At 44.8% G+C, this 18,106-nt stretch overlaps 1 pseudogene, besides 1 other annotated feature; it reads right to left on the reverse strand.

The window, feature by feature from the left end:
- SETP16 (SET pseudogene 16) lies at positions 11,523-12,528 on the reverse strand (annotated as a pseudogene).
- Positions 17,205-17,314: an enhancer, noted in NCBI's record as "active region_5602". NCBI's record gives its function as "activates an Ori minimal core promoter by ATAC-STARR-seq in GM12878 lymphoblastoid cells {active_cell/tissue: GM12878}" and the evidence as "EXISTENCE:reporter gene assay evidence [ECO:0000049][PMID:35858748]".

Raw genomic sequence — 18,106 nt, forward strand, 5'->3', positions numbered from 1 at the left:
TAAGAATGTTTTAGTTTATCCATTGAACAGACATGAAGAGTGTTTCAAGAGATGCAATCCCTTTGAAAAATGGATCAAACTCTTGAACTCATGTAGCATACTAGATATGTTTGTGAATAAACTCATGACATGAAAAATCAGTCAATCAATTTAGCCTTGGACATAAATAGATAATGGCTTCTCATTCCCCGTTTACAGTGGCCCCTCCTTCTCTTGTCTTTTCCAAATACAAGACCGCTTAGATCTTTATCATCATCCTGAGGAGCTGATATTCAAGATTATATGTAAGACATGGGGAACTTGAACTCAGAGGGGTTTTTTTGTGTTTGTGTGTGTGTGTGTGTGTGTGTGTGTGTGTGTGTGTGTGTGACAAGGTCTCACTGCTGCCCAGACTGAGTGCTGTGGCACAGTCACAGCTCACTGTAGCATCAACCTCCTGGGCTCAAGCGATCCTCCTACCTCAGCCTCCTGAGTAGCTGGGACCACAGGTATGCACCAGTATGCTCGGCTAATATTTTTATATTTTGTAGAGACAGGGCTTTGCCATGTTGTCCAGACTGGTCTTGAATTCCTGGACACAAGTAATCTTCCTGTCTTGGCCTCCCAAAGTGCTGGGATTACAGGTGTGAGCCACCGTGCCCAGCCAGAATTGGAGATTTTTAAATACAGAAATTCTCAAGTGCTTTGCCCAGGAAGGGCTACATTTGTCAACTTTTCTGGCTGCTGGAGCAGGTCAGAGAGGGCTAATATTCCTGTCAGAGGTGGTAGATTTCCTCTGACCCCATTTGTTCATCTCTACACTTTCTGAAGAAAAGTCCCTTTTCAGATGTCTATATATTTTTAAATATTCTCATTATTTAGAAAGCTCCTTTCTTTATGTTCTGAGTGAATTACTCCCATGTGTTAAGAGTTGGGAAGTGATAGGAAAGGTAGGGTCCAAGGAAAGTAGTCAAAATTGATCAAGGACCCAGCTGAAAGATAAATGAAGTTGAACAGTTCACAAAAGAGGAAATATATTGGGCTAAAAGACACGTGGGAAAATGTTCAACTTCACTAATAACAAAAGAAATGCAAATTTTAAGAACCAGGTACCGTTTCATCTATAAAATTTGCAAAAGTTAAAAATGTGTGGCCTGGCGCAGTGGCTCATGCCTATAATTCCAGCACTTTGGGAGGCCAAGGTGGGTGGATCATGAGGTCAGGAGTTCGAGACCAGCCTGGCCAAAGTGGTGAAACTCCGTCTCTACTAAAAATACAAAAAATTAGCTGGGCATGGTGGCAGGCACCTGTAATCCCAGCTACTTGGGAGGCTGAGGCAGAGAATTGCGTGAACCTGGGAGGCGAAGTTTGCAGTGAGCCGAGATTGCACCACTGTGCTCCAGCCTGGGCAACAGAGCAAGACTCCATCTCAAAAAAAAAAAAAAAAAAGGGTTGGGGGTGGTGAGAAAATACCCAGTATTGGCAAGCATGCAGTGTGGTGGCTGTCTTTATGCCCTGCTAGTGGTGGGCTAAATTGATGCCACTTTTAGGGAAACCATCTGGTGATGCGTATCAATCATATTCCTGTTAAATTATCCTAAGAAAGTTATCCAGAACATAACACAAATTTATTCACAATGATGCAGCGTTATTTATAAGAAAAAATGGGAATAACTTAAGTATCAAAAAATATGAGACTGGTTAAATAAATGATAATATATTCTCACAGTAGAACACTAATGCAACTGTTGGGAAAGATGCTTTGTGGGCCAGGTGCGGTGGCTCACACCTGTAATCCCAGTACTTTGGGAGGCCGAGGCGGGCAGATCATGAGGTCAGGAGATTGAGACCATCCTGGCTAACATGGTGAAACCCCGTCTCTACTAAAAATAAAAAAAAATTAGCCAGGTGTGGTGGCGGGTGCCTGCAGTCCCAGCTACTCGGGAGGCTGAGGCAGGAGAATGGCGTGAACCCGGGAGGTGGAGCTTGCAGTGAGCCGAGATCGCGCCACTGTACTCCAGCCTGGTGACAGAGCGAGACTGCACCTCAAAAAAAAAAAAAAAAAAAAGATGCTTTGTTAAGTTTTCTAGTACCACGAGAAAATGCTTTTTTTACAATCCAGGCTGGGGTGCAGTGGTGCAATCTTGGCCTCCCCAGTTCAAATGATTCTTGTGCCTCAGCCTCCCTACTGGGATTACAGGTGTGTGCCAGCACACCCAGCTAATTTTTTAATATTTTTAGTAGAGATGGGTTTTTGCCATGTTAGCCAAGCTGGTCTCGAACTCCTGGCCTCATGTGATCCACCCACCTGGGTCTCCCAAAGTGTTGTGGGCCACTGCGCCTGGCCTATTACAATGTTAATTAAAAGGTGCAAAATACAAAATTGTATTTGCAGTCATCCCTCAGTAGCTGTGGAAGATTGGTTCTAGGACTCCCCCTGTCCCCACAGATACCAAAATCCACAATATACAAGTTCCTTCTTTTTATGTTGTTGCTTTTTTTTTTTTTGAGACAGAGTTTCACTCTTGTCGCCCAGGCTGGAGTGCAGTGGCACGATCTCGGCTCACTGCAACCTCTGCCTCCTGGGTTCAAGCGATTCTCCTGCTTCAGCCTCCTGAGTAGCTGGGATTACAGGCAGGTACCACCACACCCAGCTAATTTTTGTATTTTTGGTAGAGATGGGTTTCACCATGTTGGCCAGGATGGTCTCAAACTGCTGACCTCAGGTGATCCCCCCGCCTCGGTCTCCCAAAGTGCTGGTATTACAGGCGTGAGCCACTGTGCCTGGCCACAAGTTCCTAATATAAAATAATGTAGTATTTGCATGCAACCTACTGACATCCTCCCATATACTTTAAATCATCTCTAGGTTACTTATAATACCTAATGCAATGTAAATGCTATGTGAATAGTAGTTTTACTGTATTGTTTAGGAAATAATGACAGGACAAAAAAACCTGTGCATGTTCAGTACAAATGCAGCCATCCTTTCCTTTTTCAAATATTTTCAATCTGTAGTTGGTTGAATCCCAGGATGCAGAACTCACAGTTACAAAGAGCTGACTGTACATTCTAATCTCAGTTATGTTAAAAAATAAAACGTAGAAACAAGAAAGGGATAAAACATATTAATTCGTTAACAATGGTTGTCTTGAAATAATTGGTAATTTTTTTCTTCTTCCCTTTTCCTCTTATTTATCTGTAATAATAATATACTGTCTTTAGAATAAAAATTGTATTTAGGCAGGATGCAGTGGCTCATGCCTATAATCTCAGCACTTTAGGAGGTCGAGGCAGGAGGATTGCTTGAGCTCAGGAGTTTGAAACGGGCCTGGGTAGCATAGTGAGACTCTATCTCTACAAAAAATTTAAATTATTTATTTATCTGTGAGACAGAGTCTCACTTTGTCGCCCAGGCTGGAGTGCAGTGGCACAATCTCGGCTCACTGCAAACTCTGCCTCCTGGGGCTCAAACAATTCTCCTGCCTCAGCCTCCCTAGTAGCTGGGATTACAGGTGCACACCACTGCGCTCAGGTAATTTTTGTATTTTTAGTAGAGAGGAGGTTTCACCATGTTGGTTGGGCTGGTCTTGAACTCCTGACCTCAAATGATCTTCCCGCCTCAACCTCCCAAAGTACTGAGATTATAGGCATGAGCCACCATGCCTGGCAAAATTTTTAAAAATGTTTTAAATTTTATTGAAAAATCATGAGCAGCTACAGTAATCAAGTCTGTATGGTACTGTATGGAACAGACCAGAAAGTTCAGAAATAAACTGTTAGCTTTATGGTCAATTGATTTTCAAAAAGGGTGCTCAGACAATTCAGTGAGGAAAAAAATCATCTTTTCAATAAATTGTGCTGGGACAACTGGATATCTACATGCAAAAGAAGAAAGTTGGACCCCTTCTTTACACCACATACAAAAACTAACTAAAGTGGATCATAGACCTAAATGTAAAAGCTAAAACTATGAAATTTTTAGAAGAAAACGAGAGTAAATCTTTATGATCTTAAGTCAGAGAAAGTCTTCTTAGATATGACACCAAAAACCCAAACAACAACAAAAATAAATTGGACATCATCAAAATTAAATACTTTTGTGCTTCAAAAGACAGAAACAAGAAAGTGAAAAAACTCACAGAATATGAGAAAATATTTGCAAACCATATATCTGATAAGGGACTTGTATCCAAAATAAATAAAGAGCTCTAACAACTCAACAATAAAAAGATAAATGATCCAATTGAAAAATGGGCAAAAGTCCGGTCTCAGTGACTCAGGCCTGTAATCCCAGCCCTTTGGGAGGCCAAGGCGGGTGGATCACCTGAGGTTGGGAGTTTGAGACCACCCTGACCAACATGGTGAAACCCTATCTCTACTAAAGCTACAAAATTGGCTGGGCGTGGTGGCACATGCCCGTAATCCCAGCTCGTTGGGAGGCTGAGGTAGGAGAGTCGCTTGAACCCAGGAGGCAGAGGTTGTGGTGATCCGAGCTCACCATTCCACTCCAGCCTGAGCAACAAGAGCGAAACTCCGTCTCAAAAAAAAAAAAAAGAAAGAAAGAAAGAAAGAAAAGAAAGAAAAAAAAATGGGGAAAGATTTGAATAGAAATTTCTGCAAAGAAGATATATAAATATTGCTGCCGTAACAAATGTAGTGGCTTAACCCAATACCACTTTATTATCTTACAGTTCTGGAAGTCAGGAGCTCAACATGGGTAGAAATGGAAAGTGACTGCTAATGAGTATAGGGCTCCTTTTTGGGGTGAGGAAAATATCCTAAAATTAATTGTAGTGATTTTTTTGGTAGAGACAATGTTTCATCATGTTGCCCAGGCTGGTCTCAAACTTCTGGGCTCAAGTGATCTGCCTGCTTCCGTGGTTGCACAGCTCTGTAAATAAACTAAAAAACCGTTTTGTATGTACCCCATCTTGGGTTGTTTGGGATTTTCTTGTTTGTTTGTTGTTTTGTTTTGTTTTTGTTTTATTTTGTTTTGTTTTGTGACAGGGTCTCACTTTGTCACCCAGGCACATACAGGCTGGAGTGCAGTGGTACCATCACAACTCACTGAAGCTTCAACCTCCTGGACCCAAGGGATTCTCCCACCTCAGCCTCCCAAGTAGCTGAGACACAGGCATGCGCCACCATACCTGGCTAATTTTGTTAAGAAATGAGGTCTCTCTGTGTTGCACAGTCTGGTCTCCAACTCCAGGGCTCAAGTGATTGCCCCACTTCCGCCTCTCAAAGTGCGGGATTATAGGCATGAGCCACCACACCCAGCCTGTATGTGTACTTTAAATGGGTACATTGCATGGTATGTAAACTACGTCTCAATAAAGCTGTTAAAAAATAACAAATGAGGCCAGACGTGGTGGCTTCTGCCTGTAATCCCAGCACTTTGGGAGGCCAAGGCAGGCGGATCACAAGGTCAAGAGATCGAGACCATCCTGGCCAACATGGCGAAACCCTGTCTCTACTAAAAATACAAAAACTTAGCCAGGTGTGGTGGCACGTGCCTATAGTCCCAGCTACTCGGGAGGCTGAGTCAGGAGAATTGCTTGAACCTGGGAGGTGGAGGTTGCAGTGAGCCAAGACCATGCCACTGCATGCCAGCCTGGGAGACAGAGTCTTACTCTGTCTCAAAAAACAAAAACAAAAACAAATAAACAAAAAAAACAAATGAATGACTCCTAAGTAGGATGCTGTATCAATTTAACAAAAACACACCACAAATGGACTTAAAGAATAAAGGAAATGTATTGGCTCATTTAACTGAAAAGTATAGAGGAAATAAAGACTTTAGGTGTGGTACAGTCAAAACCTCCTTCCCCAGCAGTTGGAGCTCCAACTGTACATGCTGCTACACAGTTGAGGGAGAGTGAAATGGATATTGTGGAGACAACACCCACTATGACCATCCACTATGGTCCTAAGGGCAAAGAGAAAACAGGTGGCTCACGGCTGGGCGCAGTGGCTCATACCTGTAATCCCAGCACTTTGGGAGGTCGAGGCAGGCAGATCACTTGAGTCCAGGAGTTTGAGACTAGCCTGGGAAACATGGCCTGTCTCTATAAAGAATACAAAAAATTTAGCTGGGTGTGGTGGCACACGTCTATAGCACTAGCCTGGGCGACAGAGTGACACCCTGTCTCTACATTTTTTAAATAAATAAATAAATTGAAAAAATATATAGTAAAAAAGAAGAAAACAGAAGGGCAGGCCTGGCATGGTGGCTCATTCCTGTAATCCCGGCATTTTTGGAGGCTAAGATGGGAGGATCACTTGAGACTTTGAGAACAGCCTGGGCAACATATGAAGACCCCATCGCTATAAAAAAATTTTTTTTAATACTTTGGGAGGCCAAGGCAGGCAGATCACTTAAGCCCAGGAGTTTGAGACCAGCTGGGCAACATGGTGAAACCTTGTCTCTACTAAAAAACAAACAAACAAACAAAACAATTTTTTTAATCAAAAAGAAGGGCTAGGCACGGTGGTTTACTCCTGTAATCCCAGCACTTTGGGAGGCCAAGGCAGGCAGATCATCTGAGGTCGGGAGTTGGAGACCAGCCTGGCCAACATGGTGAAACCCCATCTCTACTAAGAATACAAAAATTAGCCAAGTGTGGTGGCATGCGCCTGTAATCCCAGCTATGTGGGAGGCTGAGGTGGGAGGATCACTTGAGCCCAGGAGGCGAAGGTTGCGGTGAGCCAAGATTGCACCACTACACTCCAGCCTGGGTGACAGAGCGAGACTGTGTCTCAAAAAATAATAATAAAATAAATAAATAAATCAAAAAGAAAATAAAGAAAGAAAACAGAAGGGCAAGTTCAAAGACAAATAGCAGAGCATGTGTGTACCAGTCATAGGAGCAATTCTCAGGAGGGCGAAGCCCTCTTTAGACTAAAAAGAGAAACAACTAAAGACTGTAATAAAGAACACTGTCCTTTAGGCCGGTCGCGGTGGCTCACGCCTGTAATCCCAGCACTTTGGGAGGCTGAGGCGGGCAGATCACAAGGTCAGGAGATTGCGACCATCCTGGCTAACATGGTGAAACCCTGTCTCTACTAAAAATACAAAAAATTAGCCAGACGTGCTGGCAGGCACCTGTAGTCCCAGCTACTCTGGAGAATGAGGCAGCAGAACGGCATGAACCCGGGAGGCAGAGCTTGCAGTGAGCCGAGATCGTGCCACTGCACTCCAGCCTGGGTGACAGAGTGAGACTCTGTCTCAAAAAAAAATAAAAAATAAAAAGACACTGTCCTTTAAACACTTCAAAAGTGTTTAGGATTGACTGCTAATGGAGTATGAAAATGTTCTAAAATTAGATGGTAGTGATGGTTCCACAGGCTTGTAAATATACTAAAAAAGATTGAGGTCTAGCACGGTGGCTCACACCTGTAATCCCAACACTTTGGGAGGCTGAGGAGGTCAGATCACCTGAGGAGTTCAAGACCAGCCTGACCAAAATGGCGAAATCCTGTCTCTACCAAAAAATACAAAAAAATTAGCCAGGTGTGATGGTGCACACCTGAAGCCCCAACTACTCAGGAAGCTGAGGTGGGAGAATTGCTTGAACCAGGATGTGGAGGTTGCAGTGAGCTGAGATCTTGCCACTGCACTCCAGCCTGGGCGACAGAGTGAGACACTGCCTCAAAAAAAAAAAAAAGTTAATGATCGCTGGGTGCAGTGGCTCATGCCTGTAATCCCAGCACTTTGGGAGGCTGAGGCGGGTGGATCACCTGAGGTCAGCAGTTCAAGACCAGCCTGGCCAACATGGTGAAACCCCGTCTCTACTAAAAACACAAAAATTAGCCGGGCATGATGGTGGGTGCCTGTAGTCCCAGCTACTTGGGAGGCTGAGGTGGGAGAATCACTTGAATCTGGGAGGCGGAGGTTTCAGTGAGCTGTGATCACGCCATTGTGCTCCAGTCTGGGCAACAAGAAAGACTCTGTCTCAAAAAAAAAAAAAAAAAAAAAAAGATTGAATTGTACACTTGAATATGTGTATTCTTTTTTTTTTCTTTGAGACGGAGTCTCACTCTGTCGCTCAGGCTGGAGTGCAGTGGTGAGATCTCTGCTCACTGCAAGCTCCGCCTCCCGGGTTCACGCCATTCTCCTGCCTCAGCCTCCCAAGTATCTGGGACTGCAGGCACCTGCCACCACGCCCGGCTAATTTTTTGTATTTTTAGTAGAGACAGGGTTTCACCATGTTAGCCAGGATGGTCTTGATCTCCTGACCTCGTGATCCACCTGCCTCGGCCTCCCAACGTGCTGGGATTACAGGCATGAGCCACCGCGCCCAGCCAAGTATGTGTATTCTTTAAATGATATGTGATGGACCAGGCACAGTGTCTCATGCCTGTAAGCCCAGCAGTTGGGGAGGCTGAGGTGGGAGAATCACTTGAGCCCAGGAGTTTGAGACCAGCCTAGGCAACGTAGTGAGACCCCATCTCTACTAAAAAAACAAAATTAGCTGTGCATGATAGTGTATGCATCTGTAGTCCCAGCTACTTGGAAGGAGGCAGGAGGATTGCTTGAGCCCAGGTGATTGAGGCTGCAGTGAGCTTTGACCGTACCACTGCACTCCAGCCTGGGAGACAGAGTGACATGCTGTCTCAGAAAAAAAAAAAAACAAACTTAAATAATATGTGAATTCTACTTCAATGAAGCTGGATTTCATAGTTTAGAGCAAGTAGGTAAGATATTAATCTAGTGCTTGGGCACATGGAGCCAGGAGAAAGGAGTTAAATGTAAACTGAAGCCCAAAGTGTGGGAAAGATAGTAAGTGAGCCTCTGTGTATTTCAAGGAGTTCAAGACTCTTGGGCCCAGATAAATTACCTCCTAGGGCACTGAAAGAACTTGTAGGTGTAGTAATTATTTAAACTAATTTATGAGAAATTATGGAGAATTGGGTGAGAGAAGAAAAGTTTTGGAGACAAGTACACATGGATTTTTTTTTTTTTGAGATGGAGTCTCACTCTGTCCCCCAGGATGGAGTCCAGTGGCATGATCCCGACTTACTGCAACCTCTGCCTCCCAGGTTCAAGCGATTCTCCTGCCTCAGCCTCCCGAGTAGCTGGGACTACAGGCATGTGCCACCACGTCCAGCTAATTTTTGTAATTTTAGTAGAGATGGGGGTTTCACCATTTTGGCCAGAATGGTCTCGATCTCTTGACCTCATGATCCACCCACTTCGGCCTCCCAAAGTGCTGGGATTACAAGCATCAGCCACCGCACCCAGCCCCCAAACGTGGATTTATTTATTTTGTGTGTTTGTATATGTTTAGTTTTATTGTAACAAACCAACTTGTACATTTTTGTTTTGTTTTGTTTTTGTTTTTGTTTTTGAGACAGTCTCACTCTGTTGCCCTGGCTGGAGTGCAGTGGCATGATCTCAGCTCACTGCAGCCTTTGCCTCCCGGGTTCAAGTGATTCTACTGCCTCAGCCTCCCCAGTAGCTGGGACTGCAGGTGCACGCCACCACACCTGGCCAATTTATTTTTATTTTTATTTTTATTTTTAGTAGAGACAGGATTTCGCCATGTTGGCCAAGCTGGTCCCAAACTCCTGACCTCAGTTAATCCACCCTCCTTGGCCTCCCAAAGTGCTGGGATTGCAGGTGTGAGCCACTGCGCCTGGCCACAAGGCAACTTGTACATTTTTAACGTTTAAAACTGAGCATCTGGGCCAGGGGTTGTGGCTACCTGCTGTAATCCCAGCCCTTTGGGAGGCCCCAGCTGGAAGATGGCTTGAGTTCAGGGGTTTGAGATCAGCCTGGGCAACATGGTGAAACTCCATCTCTACAAAAAATACAAAAATTAGCCAGGCATGGTGGCACACACCTGTACTCCCAGCTACTAGGGAGGCTGAGGTTGGAGGATGGATTGAGCCTGGGAGGTTGAGGCTTCAGTGAGCTGTGATTGCCTTATTGCACTCTAGCCTAGGTGACAGAGCAAGATCTTGTATCAAAAAAAGAAGTAAGTAGGCCAGGCACGGTGGCTCACACTTGTAATCCCAGCACTTTGGGAGGCCGAGGCAGGTGGATCATGAGGTCAGGAGTTTGAGACCAGCCTGGCCAATATGGTGAAACTCCGTCTCTACTAAAAATACAAAAATTAGCCAGGCGTGGTGACACATGCCTGTAGTCCCAGCTACTCGGGAGGCTGAGGCAGAAGAATAGCTTGAACTCAGGAGACGGAGGTTGCAATGAACTGAGATCACATCACTGCACTCCAGCCTGGGCGACAGAGTGAGACTCCATCTCTAAATAAATAAATAAATGTAAAACTTTATTTTAAAAGTGTTATCTTGGCCAGGCGTCGTGGCTCACGCTTGTAATCCTAGCACTTTGGGAGGCCAAGGTGGGCAGATTATCTGAGGTCAGGAGTTCGAGACCAGCCTGGCCAAGTTGGTGATCTCTACTAAAAATACAAAAATTAGCTGGGCGTGGCATGCGCCTATAGTCCCAGCTACTGGGGAGGCTGAGGCGGGAGAATAGCTTGAACCCGGGAGGTGGAGGTTGCAGTGAGCCAAGGTTGTGCCAGTGCACCCTAGCCTGGTGACAGAGTGAGACTCCGTCTCAAAAAAAAAAAAAAAATCAAAAATTAGCCTGGCATGGTTGTGCATGCCTGTAATGCCAGCCAGCTACTCAGGAGGTTGAGGCAGGAGAATCACTTGAACCCAAGAGGCAGAGGTTGCAGTGAGCTGATATCATGTCACTGCACTCCAGCCTGGGCGACACAGTGAAACTCCATCTCAAAATAAAAGTGTTATCTTAACAATGTCTGTTAAACAATATCATTAAATATGCCAAAGGAGAAGCCATGTTGTCAAAATGCCTACTTAACCCACCGAAATATCTCAAATTCTCCCTTTGCTGATTTTCTATAACCCTGTTTTTTAAAGGTTTTTTTCTCCCTTTTTTTTTAATGAGATACAGTCTCACTCTTTTCCCCAGGCTGGAGTGCAGTGGCACAATCTCGGCTCATTGCAACCTCCACCTCCCAGGTTTAAATGATTCTCCTGCCCGAGCCTCCTGTGTAGCAGGGATTACAAGCATCCGCCACCATGCCCGGCTAATTTTTGTATTTTTAGTAGAGACAGGGTTTCACCATTTTGGCCAGGCTGGTCTCAAACTCCTGACCTCAAGTGATCCACCCACCTTAGCCTCCCAAAGTGCCGGAATTACAGATGTGAGCCACCGCGCCCAGTCTCAATTCACATTTAACTCCCTTCTCCTGGCCTTTTTTTCCTTTTTTTAAACAAGAGAAAGTAGATGGATACATGTTGGTAAATGCTAACTGTCCATGTTCACATAGAGACACAGTGAACTCTCTGAGCCCAATACACAGAGAAAGGAGGAAAAAAGCAAGAATTCTAAGCATAACTACATAGGGGCCTAGCACCCCCGAGCTTCCAGCAGAGCGAAGGAAGTAGGTTTTTCTTTTCTTCCACAGAGCTTGGTGGTGTTGATTCCGTACAGTTTTTGTTCAGACAGGAAGGGATAAAAATGAATTTGGGATGGAAAGGGATAGACTCTTTTCCCACTCTGTTCTGCTCAAGGTGCATCCCCCCAAAATAACACCCATGGTATAAATAAAAGAAACCTCAGGAACAGTGTGACTGGGCACAAGAGGGAAAAAACAAAAAGACCGCAACTTGATCCCAGAAAATGGGGAACATTTTTTAAAAGGAAGGTTGGAATCCATCAGTGTTCTATTAGCCATCTCCTCTTTCATCCTCCTCTCCTTTGTCAGTATCTTCCAACCCTTCATCATCATCATCTTCTTCTTTTTCTTTATCATCCGTATCAGGAACCAAGTAGAGCTGTAATGAGTTTGGCCAAATATCATCTTTGATGACCTCTCCTAACTCTCCAGCACCCGCATCAGAATGATCAGTGAACCAGGTAAAAAAGCTCTCCAATTCCTCACTCTGGCTGTATTCTGTGTCTGACTTGAATGCTTTATCAAATCCCCTCCAGATTTCCATTTGATTGCAGTGGACTTTGAAGATGGATCACCACTCTCATTCAGGTGAAATTCTTTGGAGAACTTTATTTTCATAGTAAGAATTTTCATCAAAACAAACATCTATTCTGTAATCTAATAAATATCTTCATATTCTGTCAATTCAACTCTGGTCAAATAATGCAGTGCCTCTTTATCCTCCTCCCTAAGCAGTGTAAACACTTGTGGATGGTTGACAAATATTGTTACCCCAAAATTTGGGATTTTGGCAATCAACTCTGATCTCTTTGGAAAAAATGGTTGGCGGAGTTTGCCATATTTCTTTTTCTAGCTTCAAAATCTCCTCACTGGCTTGTTCATTAAGTCTATTTCATTTTGTACTTTATCAATAAGTTCAGTTGCTTCCGCTGGTTTTTTTCTGTCTTCTTCTGCAAGCCCAGAGAGATGGATGTCTTCTCTGGTCTCAGAGCACAAGGCAGACTTGGTTTCTTCTTTTGAGGCAGTAGTAGAGACTGGCATTTCAGGGCCGTGCTGCTAGAAAAGTCCAACAACCAGACCACGAGTCTCATTGCTCAACAGAATGAAGCTCAGAAAACCACCCACAGATTTTTTTAAAGTGGTATGGATAGAATGAAAGTGAAAGGAGTCCTTCCAGAACCCTTAATAAAATCAAGCCTATTTCCAAGAAGATAAATTCTAAAAGGTAGGGACCTCATCTGTGTATTCACGACAGTACCCTCAGCTCCTAACAGGCCCCAAATATTTGTTTAAGGTTGAGTGTTGACTCCTCCAGGGTTGACCACGGAGAGAGATCCCTGGTGCACAGTAGAAAGTGGGGAAGTAAGGGTACAAGGTGAATCGTGGGCAAAAAAGTCTTGGTGAAAGTTTGGGTTTTGGGAGGTTTTCATTGTTATTGTTACAAATTTTGGTTTTGAATTTGGTTAAATGTTTTTTATGCATCTGAGATAATCATATGGTTTTTCTCCTTTATTCTATTAACATGGCGAATTACGTTAATTGATTTTCAAATGTTAAACCCAGCTTGCATTCCTAGAATAAACTCACTTTGGAAGGCTGTGTTATCCTTTTTACATATTGCTGAGTTCAATTTGCTAATATTTTGTTAACAATTAACTCACCAGGGCCTAAGATTTTAAATTTCAAATCCAGTTTATTTAATTGATATAGGACTACTCAGATATTTTATTTCTTCTTGAGTCAGTGTGGTCATTTGTGTCCTTCCAGGAATTTATTCATTTCATTTATGTTGTTAAATTTATATTGATAAAAAGTTGTTCATAATGTTCTATTATCTTTTCAATGTCTGTAGAAACAATAACGAAGTGCCCTCTTTTACTTGGACCAAAAACTAAATCTTGGGATAAGAGTCAAAACTTGGGGCTGCCAGGCACGGTGGCTGACACCTATAAGCTCAGTACCTTGGGAGGCTGAGGCAGGAGAATTGCTTGAGTCCAGGAGTTTGACACCATCCTGGGCAACATAGTGAGACCCCATCTCTTTAAAAAGTAAAAAGTTAGCCAGGCATGGTGTTGCAATCCTGTCATCCCAGCTACTCAGGAGGCTGAAGTAGGAAGATCATTTGGGCCCAGGAGTTCCAGGCTGCAGTGAGCCCTGATCCTGCCACTACACTCCAGCCTGGGTGACAAAGCAAGACTCTGTCTCTAAAAATAAACACATTAAATATAAACTACAGGGCCTAGCGTGGTGGCTCACGCCTGTAATTCCAGCACTTTGGGAGGCCGAGGCAGGCGGATCACTAGGTCAGGAGATTGAGACCATCCTGGCTAACACGGTGAAACCCTGTCTCTACTAAAAATACAAAAACTAGCTGGGCATGGTGGCAAGGGCCTTTAGTCCCAGCTACTCGGGAGGCTGAGGCAGCTGAATGGCGTGAACCCAGGAGGCGGAGCTTGCAGTGAGCCAAGATCTTGCCGCTGCACGCCAGCCTGGAGATGGTCCAAGTGCAGTGGTGTTACAACTAATTTATCACAACCAGTCACAGATTTATTTATTCCTTCTCCACTCCCTACTGCTTCACTTGACTAGCCAAACAACAACAACAACAACAAAAAACCATGGAATTCTAGGCAAATCAGTTCCACACATAGCAATTGGCTGCTACGCCTGTTAATTCTCCTGAGCTGCTTTTTCCCTCCGTTGCCAGCCTTAGAGGATCAGTTTTTTATTTAACGTTGTTAAGAAGAAAGGGGCTAGGCCGGGCGCTGTGGCTCAGGCCTGTAATCCCAGCACTTTGGGAGGCCAAGGCGGGGGGATCACGAGGTGAGGAGATGAAGACCGTCCTGGCTAACACGGTGAAACCCCGTCTCTACTAAAAATACAAAAAATTAGCCGGGCGTTCTGGCGGGCACCTGTAATCCCAGCTACTCCGGGGGCTGAGGCAGGAGAATTGCTTGAACCCAGGAGGCAAAGGTTGCAGTGAGCCAAGATCGTGCCACTGCACTCCAGCCTGGGCGACAGAGCTAGACTCTATCTCCAATCCAAAAAAAAAAAAAAAAAAGAAGAAGAAGAAGAAGAAAGGGGCCAGGCGCAGCGGCTTATGCCTGTAATCCCAGCACTTTGGGAGGCCAAGGCGGGTGGATCATTTGAGGTCAGGAGTTCGAGACCAGCCTGACTAACATGATGAAACCCCGTCTCCACTAAAAATACAAAAATTAGCCAGGCGTGGTGGCATGCACCTGTAATCCCAGCTACTTGGGAGGCTGAGGCTCAAGAATTGCTTAAGCCCAGGAGGCAGGGGTTTCAGGAAGCCAAGATCATGCCACTGCACTCCAGCCTGGGTGACAGAGTGAGACTCTGTCTGAAAAAAGCAAAACAAAATAAAACAAAAAAGAAGAAAGGGGCCAGGCGCAATGGCACACACTGTAACCCCAGCACTTTGGGAGGCTGAAGTGGGCAGATCGCTTGAGCCCAGGAATTTGAGACCAGCCTGGGCAATATGGCAAAACCCCTTCTCTACAAAAAAAAAAAAAAAAAAAAAAAAAAAAAATTAGCCAGGTGTGGTGGTGGGCATCTGTGGTCCCAGCTACATGGGAGGCTGAGGCATGAGGATTGATTGAACCCGGAGGTCAAGGCTGCAGTAAGCCATGTTCGTATCACTGTACTCCAGCCTGGGTGACATAGTGAGACCCTGTCTCAGAAAAAAAGAATAAGAAGAATGAGAGAGGTAGACTCCAGAAATGACAAATGGCAAGCTCAATGTTGATCTTTTTTTTTTTTTTTTTTTTTTTTTTGAGACGGAGTCTCGCTCTGTCGCCCAGGCTGGAGTGCAGTGGCGGGATCTCGGCTCACTGCAAGCTCCGCCTCCCGGGTTCACGCCATTCTCCTGCCTCAGCCTCCCAAGTAGCTGGGACTACAGGCGCCCGCCACTACGCCCGGCTAATTTTTTGTATTTTCAGTAGAGACGGGGTTTCACCGTTTTAGCCGGGATGGTCTCGATCTCCTGACCTCGTGATCCGCCCGCCTCGGCCTCCCAAAGTTCTGGGATTACAGGCGTGAGCCACCGCGCCCGGCCAATGTTGATCTTAAGTGAAATTCTAGAATGGAATTTGTGGGCAACACAAAAAAAATTTGGTGGTTCTGAGAGCTGTCACATATTCACTAAGAGCAATTTTGCTGAACTTTATTTCCTTCTTGTCAAAGTATCTGTCTCCCTTGCACAGTCAGATTGTTTACACTAGTAGTTACCGAGGGCCAATTTCGTACCCAGCATTGTGCTAAGAGTGTAGATAGATACAATAGGGGTGAACCAAAAGGACATCCCCCCTTCCCTTACAATGTAGTGAGGGACAATTGTTAAACCAATAAGCACGTGAATAAATATACCACTATAAACTGTGAGAAGGGGTATGAAGGATGGTAGAATGGTGGGAGAGTTTCACAGGAAGATCTGATTTAGATTTGGCAGCAGGCAGAAGGTTGGTCTAAGGAAAGCCTTTAAGAGGAACTCCTATTTAAAGATAAGTAAGAGGCCGGGCGTGGTGGCTCAAACCTGCAATCCCAGCACTTTGGGAGGCCGAGGTGGGTGGATCATGAGGTCAGGAGTTTGAGACTCGCCTGGCCAATATGGTGAAACCCTATCTCTACTAAAAATAAAAAATAAAAAAAAAATAGCCGGGCCTGGTGGTGCATGCCTGCAGTCCCAGCTACTCGGGAGGCTGAGGCAAAAGAATTGCTTGAACTCGAGAGGCAGAGGTTGCAGTGAGCCAAGATCGCACCACTGCACTCCAGCCTGGGCGACAGAGTGAGATTCCGTCTCAAAAATAAATAAATAAATAAATAATAAAATAAAATAAAGATAAGTAAGAGTTAGCCAGGGAAGTAGTAGCAGAAAGAGTATTCTTTTTTTTGAGACAGAGTCTCGCTCTGTTGCCCAGGCTGGAGTGCAATGGCACGATTTCAGCTCACTGCAACCTCCACCTCCTGGGTTCAAGCAATTCTCCTGCCTCAGCCTCCCAAGTAGCTGAGATTACAGGCACACGTCACCACGCCTGGCTAATTTTTGTATTTTTAGTAAAAACGGGGTTTCACCATATTGGCCAGGCTGGTCTTGAACTCTTGACCTTGTGATCCACCCGCCTAGGCCTCCCAAAGTGCTGGGATTACAGGCATGAGCCACCACGCCCGACCAAGAGTTTTTTTTTTTTTTTCTGCAATGGAGTCTCGCTCTGTCGCCCAGGCTGGAGTGCAATGGCTCGATCTCGGCTCACTGCAATCTCCACCTCCCAGCTTCAAGTGATTCTCCCGCCTCAGCCTTCTGAGTAGCTGAGATTACAGGCATGCATCACCATACCCAGCTAATTTTTTTATTTTTAGTAGAGACAGGGTTTCACCATATTGGCCAGGCTGGTCTCAAACTCCTGGCCTCATGTGATCCACCTGCCTCAGCCTCCCAAAGTGCTGGGCTGAAAAATATTCTGAGCAGAGTAAACAGCATGGGCAAAGACCTTGAGTCAGGAAAGTGATGAGTTTGAGGAACTGAGAGAAGGCTGATGTCACTGGAAAGCAGTAGGAGAGTGAGAGTTGGAGCTGGAGGGTGAACAGGTCAAAATTATGCAAGCTTTAAAGGGCACAAAGAGGTTGGCTTTTATCCTAGGGGTGCTAGAAAGTCATCAAAGTAGTTTGTGCAGGAATGTAGCCCAAATGATCCAGTTTTGGTTTGGAAAAATTTAAACATAGGCAGTGGCTCATGCCTGTAACCCTAGCACTTCGGGAGGCCAAGGCAGGCAAATCAGTTGAGGTCAGGAGTTTGAAACCAGCTGGCCAACATGGTGAAATCCTGTCTCTAGTAAAAATGAAAAAATTAGCCTGATGTGTCAGCAGGCACCTGTAATCCCAGCTACTCAGGAGGCTGAGGTACGAGAATCACATGAAGCAGGGGGGCAGAGGTTGCAGTGAGGCAAAATCGTGCCACTGCACTCCAGCCTGGGCAACAGAGTGAGACTCCGACTGAAAAAAAACTTTTTTTTAACTTATATGAGAATAGACACGGTTATATTATAGCACCCAAAATACCCATCAATGGCTTCAAATTATCATTTTATGGCCAATTTTTAGGATTTGGGAATAAAATAGAAATTCCCAGGAATTCTCAGAAATTCTTGATATTAAAAACTATTCCGTATTTTCATAACACTTTATTTAATGTTTTAAATGTTAGTATGCAAGATTGTCAAAGAAAAAGACTTTTTTTAATTTTTAAATTTTTTTGAGACATGGTCTCTCTCTGTCACCTAGGCTGGAGTGCAGTGTTGCGATCTCAGCTCACTGCAACCTCTGCCTTGTGGGTTCGAGCGATTCTCCCGCCTCAACCTCCCTCCCAAAGTGCTGGAATTAAAGGCATGAGTCACTGTGCCCAGCCAAAAAAGTTAACATTCTTAAAATAAAAAACATAAACATGCAGGCTGGGCGCGGTGGCTCACGCCTGTAATCCCAGCCCTTTGGGAGGCTGAGGCGGGCGGATCACAAGGTCAAGAGATCGAGACCATCCTGGCTAACCCCGTGAAACCCCGTCTCTACTAAAAATACAAAAAATTAGCCGGGCGTGGTGGCGGGTGCCTGTAGTCCCAGCTACTCGGGAGGCTGAGGCAGGAGAATGGCGTGAACCCAGGAGG

Source organism: Homo sapiens, chromosome 11 (genome assembly GCF_000001405.40).
Source record: "Homo sapiens chromosome 11, GRCh38.p14 Primary Assembly".
NCBI lineage: Eukaryota > Metazoa > Chordata > Mammalia > Primates > Hominidae > Homo > Homo sapiens.